We start from the raw sequence: 15,768 nt of genomic DNA, 5'->3' as shown, positions 1-15,768 counted from the left end.
CCTGCAATCCCAACATTTTGGAAAGCCTAGGCAGGAGGATTGCTTGAGGCCAGGAATCTGAGACTGGTCTGGGCAACATAGTGAGGGCTTATCTCTTTGTTAAAAATAAAAAATGAGAAAAAACAAAAAGAAGCGTTGCAAACTCAAATGCTGATAGGATCTAGGCAGGTTATATAAGTGAACAAATGCAGCTGGGTGTGTGAGATGCAGGTACACATTTGCACATTAACACAGAGTTGAGTTGTATATAAAGATACAGATTTTTTGAGTAAGATGGCTAAAGCTTGTATCCCAGTCTCACCACTTAACAGCTAGGTAACTTGGAAGAAATTACTTTATCTCTCTATGCCTTGGTTTCCTCTCTGTAGAGTGGTTATGAAGACTAAATGAGTTAATACATTTTGTAAAATGGTACCTGGCACGTAATAAACGTGATGCACTTTTAAAGAAAATTTTCATTAACATCACCATCCTTATCCTTGTTTAATTCCACAATGAAGGACTTCCTCCCATTTTTCCATGAAAACATGAAGCTGTATTCATCTTTTTAGTTTTCCCCCTTTATAAGGCTATGAGCAAAGAAAAAATTTTATCAATTGTGACGATATCAGTAAAGCAATAAAAATAGAAACTGGAGGCCGGGCGCTGTGGCTCACGCCTGTAATCCCGACACTTTGGAAGGCCAAGGCAGGCGGATCATGAGGTCAGGAGATGGAGACCATGCTGGCTAACATGGTGAAACCCCATCTCTACTAAAAATACAAAAAATTAGCCGGGCGTGGTGGCAGGCGCCTATAGTCCCAGCTACTCGGGAGGCTGAGGCAGGAGAATGGCATGAACCCAAGAGGCGGAGCTGGCAGTGAGCCGAGATCGCGCCACTGCACTGTAGCCTGGGCGACAGAGTGAGACTCCGTCAAAAAAAAAAATACAAACTGGCGCTTGTCCTCATTGAGGTACGGGCCTCAAAGCAGGGTGGGCACCACCTTGCATGGTTTCTGTCTGAAGGATGGAGCCTCATGCAATAGAGCAGATGGCTGGGATGTCAGAAAGAGGCCCGGGGTCAGTCAGAGTTCGGTCAGAACTGAGCCCATGAACTGACTGTTAGGTCAGTGTGTTCATTGATCTTTTTTTTTTTTTGAGGCAGAGTCTCGCTCCATTGCCGGGCTGGAGTGCAGTGGTGCAATCTCGGCTCACTGCAACCTCCACCTCCTGGGTTCAAGCAATTCTCCTGTCTTGGCCTCCCAACTAGCTGGGACTACAGGTGCCTGCCACCACACCCAGCTAATTTTTGTATTTTTAGTAGAGACAGGGTTTCACCTTGTTGGTCAGGCTGGTCTCGAACTCCTGACCTCAGATGATCCACCCTCCTCAGCCTCCCAAAGTGTTGGGATTACAGGCATAAGCCACCGTGCCTGGCCTCATTGATCTTTCTTACAAGGAGGTCAGATTATGTTTGAAACTTTTTGTTACTCAATAAAACACACTTATAGGTTGGATACATATGGCATTCAAGCTAGTGACCTCTCAGGCTGCTCCTTTAGGAAGAGAGTGTGGGCAGGGCTGGTCCCTCAGAAGAGGCTGTGAGTGGACTTTCTTACATAGATAAATTAGAAAATTGTACTTCCAATGAAGAATATTACCATGAACCTCTCTCAGTATGACACAGGGTGCAACATGCTCCTACCTTCAGGGTTAGCTTGGTGTGTGTTTCCAAGAAAAAACAACTGTGATTTAATTTTTTTTTCTTTAAGAAGAACAAATGAAAATGATGACATTTTTTAGTTCAGATACGTAGCTCCACTAAATGTTCTAACTGCCTTCCCCAAAATTGGTCCTTGTTTTAGAAAATCAAGTGGTCCACTGATTTAGAAGGCAGAAGGGAAGGAGCAGACTTTGGGGGAATAATGAGATTTCCTATATCACTAATACTGTTGATTTACCCAATGTGCAAACGATCCAGAATGTGAGATGGAATGTACTTGGGACTGATGCGGCTGTTAGAAGTTAGTACTTAAACATTCCATTTCAAATATTCTCATTAAGGGTAATAGCAGAAAATTGCAGCAGAGATTAAGCAGTTTTTAAGTGGTAATCCCCTCTGTAGAACTGTTGATTTGTTTAGTTAATGCTAATTTATTTAATATACTTCTACTTTTTGTTGATTTTTAGGTCTGTTGCCACAGTTATTGGGAGTTGCCCCAGAGAAGGCCATAAAACTTACAGTAAGTCTTTTGAGTTGGTGCTTCTTATTAAGGGATTTTGTACATACTCAAGAATCTAGCAGGTATTCTTATAGGAAACAGCAGGTTTGTTTTCTCAGAGGTGCTAGCTAATTTGAAAGCAGGGGAACTCACCACACACATTTTTTCATTATTCTCCATTTAGCAGTGGACATCCAAAAATGTGATAATAAACTTGAGGACTTTTGGTGGTTGCTGCCATCATTGTTGTCATCACAGCAGTAGCAGCTAAATTCCCTTCAGTATCTACCATATTAGGCACATGACGTATATTACGTTTTACTGGTTTAATCTCAAGCAAAGCATGATCCACAGTTTACGGATAAGGAAACTGAGGCCTATCGGGCTTAAGTAGCATACCTGTGTTCACACAAATCATGAGTGGGAGAACTAGAATTTAAAATCACACTTGTCTGACTCCAGAGCATGTCTTTCTATTACACCTGCTGTTTTTATAGGATTCATGGTTAGGGTGTGTTCTATAAAGCCAAATGTGCAGGGATCTGGGTTCTAGTTGAAGTTGATCCTTTATCAGATTATTTGCCCAGTGCTTGGCTCACATTTGACAGATGGTTGATATTCAGTTTAAGCGTTTGTGGAATATACAAATATTTGCATCACTAAGGCCACAAAGCCCCAGAAAGTAAAACTCTAGCTTTAGGTTGGGCTGCGTAGCTTTGGAGCCTGAAATTCTTCTTTTACCATTTTGTTATGTGACCTTGAGATAGCTAATCTTCTCTGGCCTATGTCTGCCAAAAAGATATGACTGTTTCTTAAAATTTCTTGTACTACATACCATTTTGAGAATATTATATTAATTAATTAATGTAATTTATGTTCTTTGAGAATCCTTGAGGAATTTTTAGATATTGAATTTCTTCTAAGCTGAAAAAGTCTGCTCAGCCAAATTTATCTCCATGATGAGTACTGTTTTAGATTAATTCTTGTTAGAAGACTTGAAAGTGATTTTTAATCAAGCCTTATAAAACAGTTTTAAGTTGTAAGATGTATGTTTTTATTTTGTCACTATTGTCAGTGTGTCTCCCTTCTTAAGCTATTCTAATTGCAGAACATATTTTTGGCTTTCATTTATCTTTTAACTTTTCTCCTGAAACATCAGTGATGCATATATATTTTTCATTTTTTAAAACTATTATACTATTAAGAGTACTTCTCAAACTATTTTAAGATCTGTTAAATTGTGCAATTTATGATTACTCCAATAGACTGATAGAAAAAAATAGCATATATTGACAGATGCATATTTATAAGTGTTTAATGACTTTCTTTATATTTTTCATCAGCTTCTATAAATATTTTTCTTCAAGGTGAACGATTTTGTGAGGGATAAATTTATGCACAAAGATGGTTCGGTCCCACTTGCAGCAGAAATTCTTGCTGGAGGCTGCGTAAGTACCTTTTGAAGCTCTCTTCATTGAAAAGACTTGTTTCACATATATATCACTACCATGGTCAACAGGTGTGGACTAAGGCTTCTGTTTAACCACAGATCCTGCACAAGGGCAGAGTCTACTAGGGCACCTCGGCTTTTCCTAGACAGGCGAACCATTCCAGAGGTGGAAGGGTAAATGTTTCTGACCTTACTGCCTGTTAAGTCATGCCTGTTAAATTCGTCATTGCTTATGGTTTGTTCTGCAATGGAAGTCATTTGTGGCAGAAGTGTTTGGCCTTTGAAAAATCTTTGCTAACCTTTTCTAAAGTTAATTTTTAGTACATTCTTTCCTCATGGCACCCTCTGCTGGGTCAGGCACTAAAACTTGTAGTCTGAAGTCAGCAACCGTAGCTCTCTGCTTGGCTTTGCCTTGCAAGTGGCAGAACTGTTCAAGCTTCCACTGCTTTTGGGAGAACAATGCTGGGAAATAACTGGCTGAGTGTGCGCTGCATTGTCAAAAATGCTTGGAATGATTGTTTCCTTATATGGATGAACAACTTGCATCTTGTTCTGAAGCTCAGCAAAACATTGTGTCTCGTTTTATCTCGTACTGGTTTGTTCATGCGAATGTAAATACTTTAAGTAAATTAAACTCTTATACAAAGACTAGTGTTATTTAAAGATAAGATTGGTTAAATAACAGGCTTTGATCACTCAGGCGATACAATATTGGTTTTTTTTATCCGAACCTATTTCTTATAAAAAAGATGAAGTCACTTTTTTAAATTGGCTTACTCTGGGCAGGAAGTAGTATTCCTAAAGTAATTTTTTTCTTGAAGATCCTTGAATGTAGACGTTGGGCAATGTTTGTGTGGAAAGGGCTTATTGTCCTATCTAATGGTGAATGATGGTTTCTTAAATGTAGCAGGACCTAAGAAGTCCTAGCTCCTGGTATTCTTTAGAGATGGATGGAATTTGGCTACTGCCTGACTCTCTGTTTGATCACTGACCTGTTGGAGATGGGCAGGCAGGATCCCCTTGTTCTGTAACTTTAGGAGCGTTCAGGATGGAAAAAAAGGAGCCTTTAATGTCCTAAATATAAAGGGCACACAATAATAATCAAAGAGAATTTTAGAAGTTGCTCTTCCCCATAACTACTCTCCATTTAAAACAACTCTGTAGTTTCCATTTGAGTAAGTAGGTTTTCTAATTTTTGAGTAGGTATATCCATAGGCTGTGCCTAGCCTAGTCCTTCAGGTTGTTGCAGGGCCCAGGATATAGCAGGGTTTTTTGGTAGGTCAGGTGGGGTTGTTGTTTTTTTAAGTTACATTTTAAACTTTCTGAAAAGATATGATTATAGATTTCTGTAAGAATTAAAATGTAAAATTAATTATGTGATACTACTCAAGATGTTGGCAATCATCATGGCATGGTGCCCAGAGGTTTATTTTCTTTTTAATGAAAGCATTTTGCCTGCACATACCTCTGGGTGCCAAGGAGATTGGTTGTGGCACGTATTTTCTAGGTGCCATCTGTAGGTGGTCTTGTTTTTGCATATGCGGCCGCCCATTTCAAACACAAAGCACATTGGCATCAGAAGTGGTGCCTAGTTATGTAAAGAGATGTAGCCCTTTTCAAACCTGATCTAAACACAGGCTTAAAATTGGAGCCACTTAGGCTTTACAGCTACTTAAAATATCTGTGAAATGAGGTTTGCCATCCTTCATCTCAAAGAGGTAGACAGTGGTCCTTAGCTTTTCAAGTCTTCTCCCTTGCCTTTTTCCCCCCCAATCATTACTTTAAGAAGTAAGAGTTTATTTTCAGTTAAGCAATCCTGTAGGTAGCAGACAACCCAGGTCCCTTTAGATCTCTGAGTAGATGAATGGATGGTTCCATTTTCTGTGTGTGTGTTTGTGTGTGTGCACACGTGCTTTTTTTTTTTTTTTTTTTTTTTTTTTTTTTCAGACAGAGTTTCGCTCTGTCACCAGGCTGGAGTGCAGTGGCGGGATCTTGGCTCACTGCAGCCTCCACCTCCCGGGTTCAAGCGATTCTCCTGCCTCAGCCTCCCGAGTAGCTGGGACTACAGGCACACACCACCATGTCCAGCTAACTTTTTTGCATTTTTAGTAGAGACTAGGTTTCACCATGTTGGCCAGGATGGTCTCAATCTCCTGACCTCGTGATCCGCCTGCCTTGGCCTCCCAAAATGCTGGGATTACAGGCATGGGGCCACCCCGCCCAGCCATGCATTTTTTAAGTAATAGCAGCATCTTTCTTTGCAGGCTTTGGCAAAGTCTTCTCTATAATTGGAGTCAGTCACACACCTTAGAGGGTTGTTGTGAGTTCCACAGCCTCATCTGTCCTATTGGGAATACAAAGGGTTTTGTAAGGTTGTGTCACATGAGCGGTTCCTCATCTTAGTTCATCCAAGCATTGCTAGGTGTTGACTTTTAAGTCCCTGGGGAGCTCACCTTGCTTCATGATTACTGAGAATTAGTACACATGGCTGACTTTTGCACTTGTAACCAAAGCTGCTCATTTCTTTGAACAAGGCTTATTCTGTTTTATGATCTGTTTTCTGCAAAAATGAGGAAAGTATGTAGGGAGATCTTTGTCTCATAACTTCATAATGTTTAGCTAAACAGCCTGTTTTATTGTATATATTTTTTTAGAATGAAAGTGTTAGTAAATTTGGAGGGGAAAAAATGATTGTCACTAAAAAGGAATAAAGTTTATCCCATTTCTTATTTATTATTTTTGATATAATAAAGCCTGTAACTGAAGAGATGAAAAAATAATCTTCTGTTTCACTGACATATGTAAAAGGGCTAACTTTCACGTCTAACTTTATTTTTAAACTCATTTTTTGCATTTGAGATTAGTTTTAGTTTAGAGCACTGTTAAAAATTGACTTCAGTTTTCTGAGCATTTTTATAGATTCACACTTTAACAGTAGTGATATATTCAGCATGTTTTAAGACAAAACTCGATGCTGAGACTGGGGTTTACAAACTCTAAATCTGAAAGAATCCTTTGTGGTTTGTGTTTTCTCCCTAACTTGGGTTTCTGCATTCTAAATTAGGGTTGTAGTTGTGGGAGTTCTGATGGAGACTTGGACCTTCAGTCTTCCCTGCATGAGGTATATATATATATGTATACCTTCTGTTTTTTTCCATCTTTTCCCTTCTTGGATCAAAAACTTGGCACCTTTAGAGGGATGTGATTGAAAATCTGTGTTAGTGACCGTGTGTGTCAGAAGACAGAGGTTCTGTTACCACTAGCCACTTCCAGTTAGGTTCCCAATGATTCTGAAAATTGATGTATTACCTCTGAATATATTGTTTTTATTGCTTTTTTGCTGTTACTTTAAGAAAAAAATAAAAAATAATGTATGTAATGCAATATGATCTGTAGGCTGCAGTGCTTCATTCAACAAAGTAAGTGTATGACTTTTATATATCTAGTGTAATATGCATCTAGGTTGAAATCTTGAGGAGCCTGGGATCTTTAGCTTTTGATCCTTTGATCTTTAAAAAAAAGTCACCAGATAAGAAATACAAGTGGTGCAATGACTAGTTTCAAGGAAGAAATATAAATATGATGATTAATTTATTTGGCCTGAAAATAAATCTAATATTACTAAGAAAGAAAGTCATGAAAGTATGAACATCTGTCTTATAAAGCCATATTTAGTAAAAACTGTTTATATAACAAGAGAAAGTAATAGTATTGTGTAGTAATTTTTGGAAAGACAAATTAACATGTTTTTTAAACTATGGTCCTTTGATAATGGGTCCAGGGTATTTTTTCATTGTGATGCACACATGTGTGTGCGTGAGTGTGCATGTTGTAAATATAATTGGTGTTTATAGAAGTTTATATTCATTTTGACTGCATTTTGAGTTGGAAAAACAGTTTATATGCTTGTGTCACTGGTTCTAAAAGGGACTGGTGAGACTAACACTGTTGGGAAAACATGGAATGAAGAGTAATCTTAATTACACTCCCCTATAAATAAGTAGGACCCTAATGCAGTTTCCTGCCTGATTCCTACCATAATGGTGATTCCCATATGCATGATGTGTTTATGCCAGTTTGTCCAGCCACGTATCAAATACTGTTTTTAAGGCAAGGTTTTATTACTCATCTCATACATTACATTCAGTTGCAGTTAATTTATATTTTGAAAAATTTTGAAAAACACAACAATACAGACACAGGTGTGCCTACCACTTAGATTGGTGACAAACTTGACAGTGCAGTTGGAGGCCCTTAATGTACCTGTCCAAATTGCTTTTCATTCCCTTACCTCTGTCTCCCAAGAGAAAACTCTGTCCTGACAGTGGTGTTTTTCATTCTAAGCATGTCTCTCTACTTTTTATTACCTGTGAATATCCTAAGCAGTATAAATGTTTGTTTTTGAATGCCTCATCCTAACCCAGTGCTCTAGGAACACCTCATATGATTCCCAGATTGATGCCTTTGCATTTTTTCCCATTAGTGCAACTCATGTGCTTTGCTTATCAGAAAATAATAGTAAATGGGAGTATTACATTCAAAGTGTTGGAATGCGGCAGATACTGCGTATGTCTGTTACAGATGTGTGGGTTTCTAGATGGACTTATGGTTGGAACAGTGTATTCATTTAACCAAGTTTTTGGTTACTTGGGGTTTCTCCCTAGACAACAGTCATTTCTTCAGTCTTATGATTTAAACTTATACATGATACTTAGTTTAAAAATGTTAACCCTCCCCACTGCCAGCATACGCTCCCTATCTACCTATCAGCCTGCCTTCCCATCATCCCTCCCTTCTTCTTCTGCTGCCATGGTTCTTACCACCTTCAAACATTCTGTATAACTTACTTATTTTTCATGATTTTTGTTTATTTTCTGTCTCCTTCATGGTAGAGTACAAGTTCTGCAAAAGCAGGGATCTTCTTATTCATTGATGTATCCTGAGGACTGCAGGCATTGCATGGTAACCTGTAGACTCTTTGTAAATATTGGTTAAATGAAAGAATTTTAAAGCTAAAATCACTCAAAAGTGATCTTGTCAATCTTCACAGCCAATCAACGACAAATCTGATAATGGACTCATTTATATCTTTTCTTTAATGTTAGTCAAACCCCTTCCCATCATTAACAATAAAACTTATCACCTGTCTCTCCAAGCCATACTTAATGATAATTCCCAAATCACCAAGAATAGAAAGCATATAGATGGAGATCATTTTACAAAGTGAAAGTGTTCCTTTTAAAACCTTGCCATTCTAATTTTTGAGAATTGCCAACAGGGATGCTGCTGCTTCTTTTGTGTGTGTGTGTGTGTGTGTGTGTGTGTGTGTGTAAAGTTAATCCTTTTGAAAATCATAGCCATTTGTAGTAAAAATAATCACATCTAACAAGAGGCAGTCCAGTTTCCTGTAAAGAACATGGGCTTTTAGTCGGTTTGGGGTCCCAAGGCCTTCACCTGCCAGATGTGAATCAAGGATTAGACAACTTAGTTGACTTCTCTGAGTTGCAGCTTTCTTGTCTATAAAATTTAGATAGCAACTTTCTCTTTCAGTTATCTATTGCTGTGTAACAAACCCCTCCAAAACTTAGTGGTTTAAAACAATAATCTGTTCTTTTTCATTAATGCTGCCTCCTTTCCGTGGTTTCTGTCTCTTTCCCATGGTTTCAGCTGGAGTGGTGAGGCAGCTAGAAGGTCCAAAATGTCCTCACACAAATGGCAATCAGCTTGGAGCTCAGCTGGAGCCATGGCTGGGGGAACAGGTTCTCCACATGGCATATCTGCGTGAGCTTCCTCACACTATAGTGTCAGACTTAAGAAGGTGAGTTCTGAGAGCAGAATAAGAAGCTGAGAAAAATCTCAGGCCCAGTTTTTGAGGTTATGCAACATTAATTTAGCCACAGTGTGTTTGTTAAAACAGGTTATAGGCCAGCCGGATTCAGTGCCAGGGAAAATAATCTACCTCTGAATGGGAGATGTGGCATTGATGTTGCAGCCATCTTTAATGCACCACAGTTACCTTGCCTGATTGTGGGAAAAATTAAATGAGATAATATGTATGAAAGAATTAAATCATGACTTAAGTACTAGTCTTCCTCCTCTTCTGGTGTCTACTTTTTAACTTCTAATATATATATATATGGAGAGAGAGAGAGGATGTTGTGAAAATGAATGTTTTAGTTTGGCTTTTTGGGTGAAGGGGAATGGAATAGGTGTATTGGAGTTTGGATATGGCTGTTGAGGACCTCAGCTACCTCAGGTGCTCCTGAAATCTCTGGTCTTCTTTGTGAACCTGCTTATTTGCCATTTCTCTACTGATTGATTTCCTCTGCTGGGTAACATAGCATCTTTATTCTAAAAATGACTTTAATTTCATCCTGTGTCCACAGTGCATGCCAATCCCAGTTCCAAGGCTTTCCTCCTAACAGGAATGATCTCAGTGTTTCTCCATCATTGAGGAGGAGAAGTGTTCTGATTATCTATTGCTGCATAACAAATAATCTGAAAATTTAGTGGCTTCAAATAGATACTTATTATTATTCTCTCTTGTGGTTCTATGGATTGACGGGGCTCAGCCTGGGAGGGTTGTACTTGGGATCCTTATATGGTTATGGGCTAGTGGCAGCTGGGGCCAGACTCATCTGAAGGGTCAACCGGGATAGATATCCAAGGTGGCTCACTCTTGTAACTGAACAGCTGGGGCTGTGCTCCAGAGCACCTGCTTGACTTCTCTGTGTAGCTTGGTCTTTTCAAACATTGACAATTTGATTCTGAGAGGGAGCCTCCCAAGAGCAGGCATCTTAAGAGTCCTGGGCAGAAACAAGACTTCTTATGACCTGACCTTGAAGGTCACTGCCAGTGCATTCTGATGGTCAGACAAGCCAGTTAGGCTGGCCCAGACTCAACAGGAGAGAAATTAGACCCTACATCGTAATAGGAATAATAGCAAAGGATGTTTTAACTGCCACTGGAGGATTCAGTAAGCTGTGTTGTGGGCTGGGAACATCTTCATTGCCCTTCACCTTGTGAAGGTTTCATAGCCCATCTCATGCCTTCTCTGAGGGTCTGTTGCTGATCCTAGAACCCATTCATTCTCTAGATTGCTTCTGGTAGCAGGGGGCAGAAACTCACCAAAGTTGGAGTTAATCAAATGAAGGTTTACTTTAAGGGTACCCATTAAATGAAACTGAAGGCTCTTGAGAATTGAGGCAGCATTAGGAACTGGCTACTCTCTCCATTTTCTCTACTTGGCCTTTGTCTCTCTCACAGTGACTTTGCATCCCTCTGCACATCTTTTGACTATTCTAATCCATAACTTCTTCTCTTCCTGAAGAATTGGTGTTGACTTTCTCAAGAATTCCCTTCATGTTCTTGCCAGCCACCTAGCCTTTCTCTACAGTAGGAGACAGCCTCTTTTCATCCCTTGCCCCAGCCCCAGCTAATTAGCTTAAGTTGTTCAGTTTTGTTTTGTTTTCCATTTAATTATTGAGAGAGGAAATCTGATTGGCAAACCTCATCTTTGTGCGCCAGGCCATACATATGGCAGCCTTGAGTCATGGCGCCACCCAGATATTAATGACTTTGCTTAACATTTCCATTTGTTTCAACTACCTGTAAGTGTCTTCAAACCTTTCTTGTACTGTTTTGTTTTTAGCTCTGAATTCTGTAAGTTTGCCCTGAATAGTATTGTGTATACTTTGGTCATAAAATATACTCAAAGTCACCATTCCTTATGATTGAACTTGAAATCCCTTAAGATTTCATACTCACTCATATCAAACCAGGAAGAAAATTTCCTCATATAATGAATACATATACTCTGACAATCAGAGCTGATGAGACAGATTGCCTGAAGTGGATTTAAGTCTTACTTCGCGATCTTTTTCTTCCCAGGATTTCCTGTGGATACGTAGCCTCATAGTGTGGTTTTCTTAAGGTAGAATTTTTATTTCACTATGCAAGTCTCTGCACATATCTTACTTATAAATATAAGATGATGTGAGGCTTAATCATTAGGTTGAGTTTTTATGAAGTCACTCTTGTGTGACATGTGAATTAATCAAGATACATTATGCATTATAGTGATGCTATAGCAATAATGTTAATTTTTTTAATGCTTGTATCTTTACAGTCTTTTGTAGTTCAGTGAAAATCTAGTGATTATATTGTTTTCAAATGTTATTATTGTTATTGTTTGGAATATTCCCTGGGAGAACTTTTTGCCTACTCCGCCAAAATGTAAGACCATATTAAAGATTTTCTTGATTTGTACTTGCACTTTATCTCTGCCTTCCATCTCCTCTTGACTTGGAGGGTTGGAGACTGTGTCTGGTATTATATGACCTGCTGTCTTTGTCAACCATGGTCACTGCTTTGCCACTTGAGGAGATCTTCCTTCATAACTTTGTGCTGACAACTAATTGCATCTCACAGACCTTGAGTAAATGGCTGAACTGAGACATCTATAAATATGGATGACAGGGCCTGTGTTGCACTGTTACAGCTGTGTGTCTAGCATTGTGTCTGACATATGGAAGAAACTTAAAAAAAAATCTGTTGAATGAATAAATGCTTGACTACAAGGTGTGGGTCATAGATTTGGAAAGGAAGGGTAGTGACTCTGTATACCATGTTACTATTCATTTAGAGACTGATGGCCAGCAAAGAGGAATTAACTCCAAAAATTAGTGGGAGAGTAGGGGTGCAGGAATTGAGGGAATAGCTGTAACCATGGCTAGGTGTCTGCATATCCAGGATATTTCACAAGAAAGTATTCCATGATCACCCAGTAATAGAACCAACCTTTATAAGGCTCCTATTTATTTTATTTGACTTCATTTCTAAGAATGACAAATAAATAATCCCCAAATATATTCAGAATCTTAAGAACAGGATGAAGATAAACAACTTGGAGCATTTGGTATAGCTTATTTATTATGGCTTGTATTTTAAGTAGAAAAGACTTTATTGAATGACTAACATGAAATTATGTCAGAGTCATGAAGGAATCATAGAAAAGAGGAGCTTTAAAAAAGGAGGAGCCAATTAATAGCCAAAAAAAAAAAAAAAAATGCTAACCTCATGGCACTATCTAAATTGGCAGATTTCTGAAAAGCCAAGAGGCAGCTCCATCGGTTTTCTCAAAAAGTCCTCCAGGCAATGGGACTAAGGCATTGGTCTTGAATAGAGTTCCACTGCTTGCCTACTCCAATGAGAGGCTCTTTCTCCAGATGATTTCAACTTGGACTGAGGGCAAAATTAAAAGAAATATCTGATGGTACTAAGGGCTCATGGGTGCTATAGATTGAATGTTTATTTTCCCCACAATTGCTATGTTTAAACCTAACTCCCAGTGTGGTGGTATTAGAAGAGTGGGACCTTTGGGGGTGATTAGGTCATGAGGGTGGAGCCTACAGTTTGAGATTAGTGCCCTTATAAAAGGGATCCCAGGGAGGTCCCCACTCCTTCCTCCATGTGAGGACACAGTGAGAAGACAGCATCTGTGAGCCAGGAAGCAGTGCTCACCAGATTCCAACTGTGCCGGCACTGTGATCTCAGATTTCGAGCCTCCAGAACTCTGAGAAATGAATTTATGTTGTTTATAAGCCACGTAGTCTATGATACTTTGTTACAGAAGCCCGAACAGACTAAGACAGTTAAGGATAGCCTCCCTGGCTAAGGGCTGCCTTCAGTGGCTCAGAAATGTCATCTTATTAGAGGAAAGTCCAACTTTCATGCTAGACACTGGGCCAGCCAGATACTTCCTTTCTGTTTTTCTCCCTTTACCTTCTCTGGGAAAGTCTCAGAGTTGTTTGACTCAACACAGTTCAAATATTGGGCCATCTTTCTGGATTTCTAGTAAATAGGGAGGAGTTTGTTACGATAGGAAAATCTGAAGAAAGACTGGGCCATAGCTTTCATACAGTTAAGGTACTTTAGACATTGAAGGTCTGTAAATCATTAAACTATTCTGGTAGTAGTAGTCAAAATACACATGTATAACAGGCAGACCCCAAATGTTAACATATTTGACAGGCCTGTAAGTTAATTGCTTTTTAATGTCAGTCAAATGGATTCCACTTTGGTTTCTTGGCCAGGCTTCTATGGGCCCATTAAAACCCCATGAAGCTGAAAACATGAAACTTAATATTTGTAAAACATGTAAACAGAATAGCCTTTTTCTGCCTTACCGTGTGGTTAAGAAATTAGGACTAGGATATTTCAGTTTGGTATCTTTCTCAGAATCCAATTAGAGTAAGAATTTATTTTATTATCTTTTCAATATTGTTAATAATCTAGTAACACATTTTTCACTTAAGAGTTTTATTTTCATACCAAATCAAAAGAAAAAAAAATTCTATATTGCTTTATGTTTAGAGATGTGCATTTGGTCAGACAGTCTAACTTAGTGTATTCGTTTGGTCAGGCTGCCATAACAAAATGCCTCATACCACAGAGCGGGAGGCTTAAACAACAGAGACTGGAAGTCCGAGGTTAAGGTGTTGGCAGTTTTGGTTTCTTCTGAGGCCTCTCTTCTTTTCTTGCAGATGGCCGCCTTCTCACTGTGTCCTCACGTGGTCACCCCTCAGTCCATGTGTCGTCTGTGTCTTAATCTCTAATTATAAGGGCACCAGTCATATTGGATTAGGGCCCATCCATTTGACTTCATTTCTTCTTAATTACCTCTTAAAAGGCCGTAAGTCCAAATCCGGTCACATTCTGAGGTCCTGAGAGTTAGGACTTCAGTATACAAATTTTGGAGAGACGCAATTCAGCCCTAATGCTAGGGTTTAAGAAAAGGTCTTTCTTTCAGTTTGTGAGGACTCAGGTTTCTGATTGCAGGAGGGTGATGATGTATCTTGTGAAGGCAGTGAGCCCAACACACTTCCCTTCAGAGCTCGACAGGGTGAGTGGCCTTCCGACCTCATGCCACCTCATCTTTGCCAGCTTCTTTGTGAGGTTGCTGAATGCCGTCTTCAGCACTTGTGAACAGTTTTGAACAGCACTTGACTGCAATTTGGCAATGTGTTTTAATTTATTCCATCCACTGCTATTTGCTGAATATCTCTTTTTTACCTGTGAGCTCTGCATACAATAATAGTTGGTTACATACAAATTATTTTCATGTCTCTATTTAACATTGAGTTAGTAAGAAAGTAAATGGAAAATATGTTGAACCTTAGATTCCTTTACAAGTCTTTATTTTCTAATTTATTCAAATGTCAAACACTGTCATCACTTGTGTATTCGTCTTAATGAAACATAAATCACTAGACATTTATTACTATATATCTTGTTTGTAGTTACAATTGTGTTTGTGTCCAGATAATCAAAATAATGTATTTGGGTTTAAGTAAAAGTCTATTCTATAACTTTATATTAATCTATTTTTGACACGTGTAAGCACGCATTTTAGAATGTCAGTGTGCAATTAGATATTCTTAGCACATGTCATTTGTGAAAAGCACTTTAAATCTAAGTACATTCAATTGAGCATAATTAAAATATCAAGATACATATTCTTCATATACATTTTGCCTCTTAATTTTTTAAGTAGCTATAAGTATCTACCATGTGAATTCAAATTAAAGGAGGGTGATTAAATTACAGTTATATTTATTGCTTTTAGTTTAAAATATAGTTGAAATTGCGCTATATTAAAAAATATACTGCCATGTTTTCTGTGGACAGCAGACTGATGATGGGTTTAATTTGTTTTAATGCAAGACTATTAATAGTCTCTGAATATTCTCAAGACTGTTGACTAGAATGATTGGGGGTTGGGAGGCGTAAGAAGGCTTGTATTTTTATCTAATGAGTTCTTTTGACTTGACTCCTGAAGTCTCAAGAAAATGTTCAGGAATACTACCTCATTTAATAAAGAAGCATTGGAGAAAGCCTTGTTTTGTTGATACAAATGAAAGGAAATGGATCATGGGGAAATATGAACTGGAGCTCCTGAACCCTTATCCTTTAGATAATGTATTTAGGCTACTGATATTTCCTATCATTGTGAAAATGAGCAGACAGCCTTGGTGAGTCAGTTTTAAGGCACATGTAACTGTTAAACCTACTTGTCCACAACTGTTGGACCTAAAGTATATTATGATTTTAGTGAAG

General features: G+C 38.6%; 1 protein-coding gene across 8 annotated transcripts in view; it reads left to right on the top strand.

Annotated features, from left to right (window-relative positions):
• Positions 1-15,768, top strand: part of SLC25A13 (solute carrier family 25 member 13) — a 201,879-nt gene that overhangs the window by 148,405 nt on the left and 37,706 nt on the right. For 6 of the 8 annotated variants that reach the window (NR_027662.2, NM_014251.3, NM_001160210.2 and 3 more), the window contains 2 exons: positions 2,170-2,222; positions 3,569-3,649. Coding sequence is in view for 7 of the 8 variants with exons in the window: in NM_014251.3 (NP_055066.1) it covers positions 2,170-2,222; positions 3,569-3,649 (134 nt within the window). In the remaining variant the exon portion in view is untranslated. Of the gene's footprint in view, positions 1-2,169; positions 2,223-3,568; positions 3,650-3,750; positions 3,826-15,768 lie in introns of all 8 variants that reach the window. The other 2 variants (XM_047419714.1, XM_047419713.1) reach the window with 1 other exon arrangement.

This window comes from Homo sapiens, chromosome 7 (genome assembly GCF_000001405.40).
Source record: "Homo sapiens chromosome 7, GRCh38.p14 Primary Assembly".
In the NCBI taxonomy this organism is placed as follows: domain Eukaryota; kingdom Metazoa; phylum Chordata; class Mammalia; order Primates; family Hominidae; genus Homo; species Homo sapiens.
The sequence above is the reverse complement of the archived record's forward strand: the minus strand, read 5'-3'. Positions and strand labels throughout refer to the sequence as shown.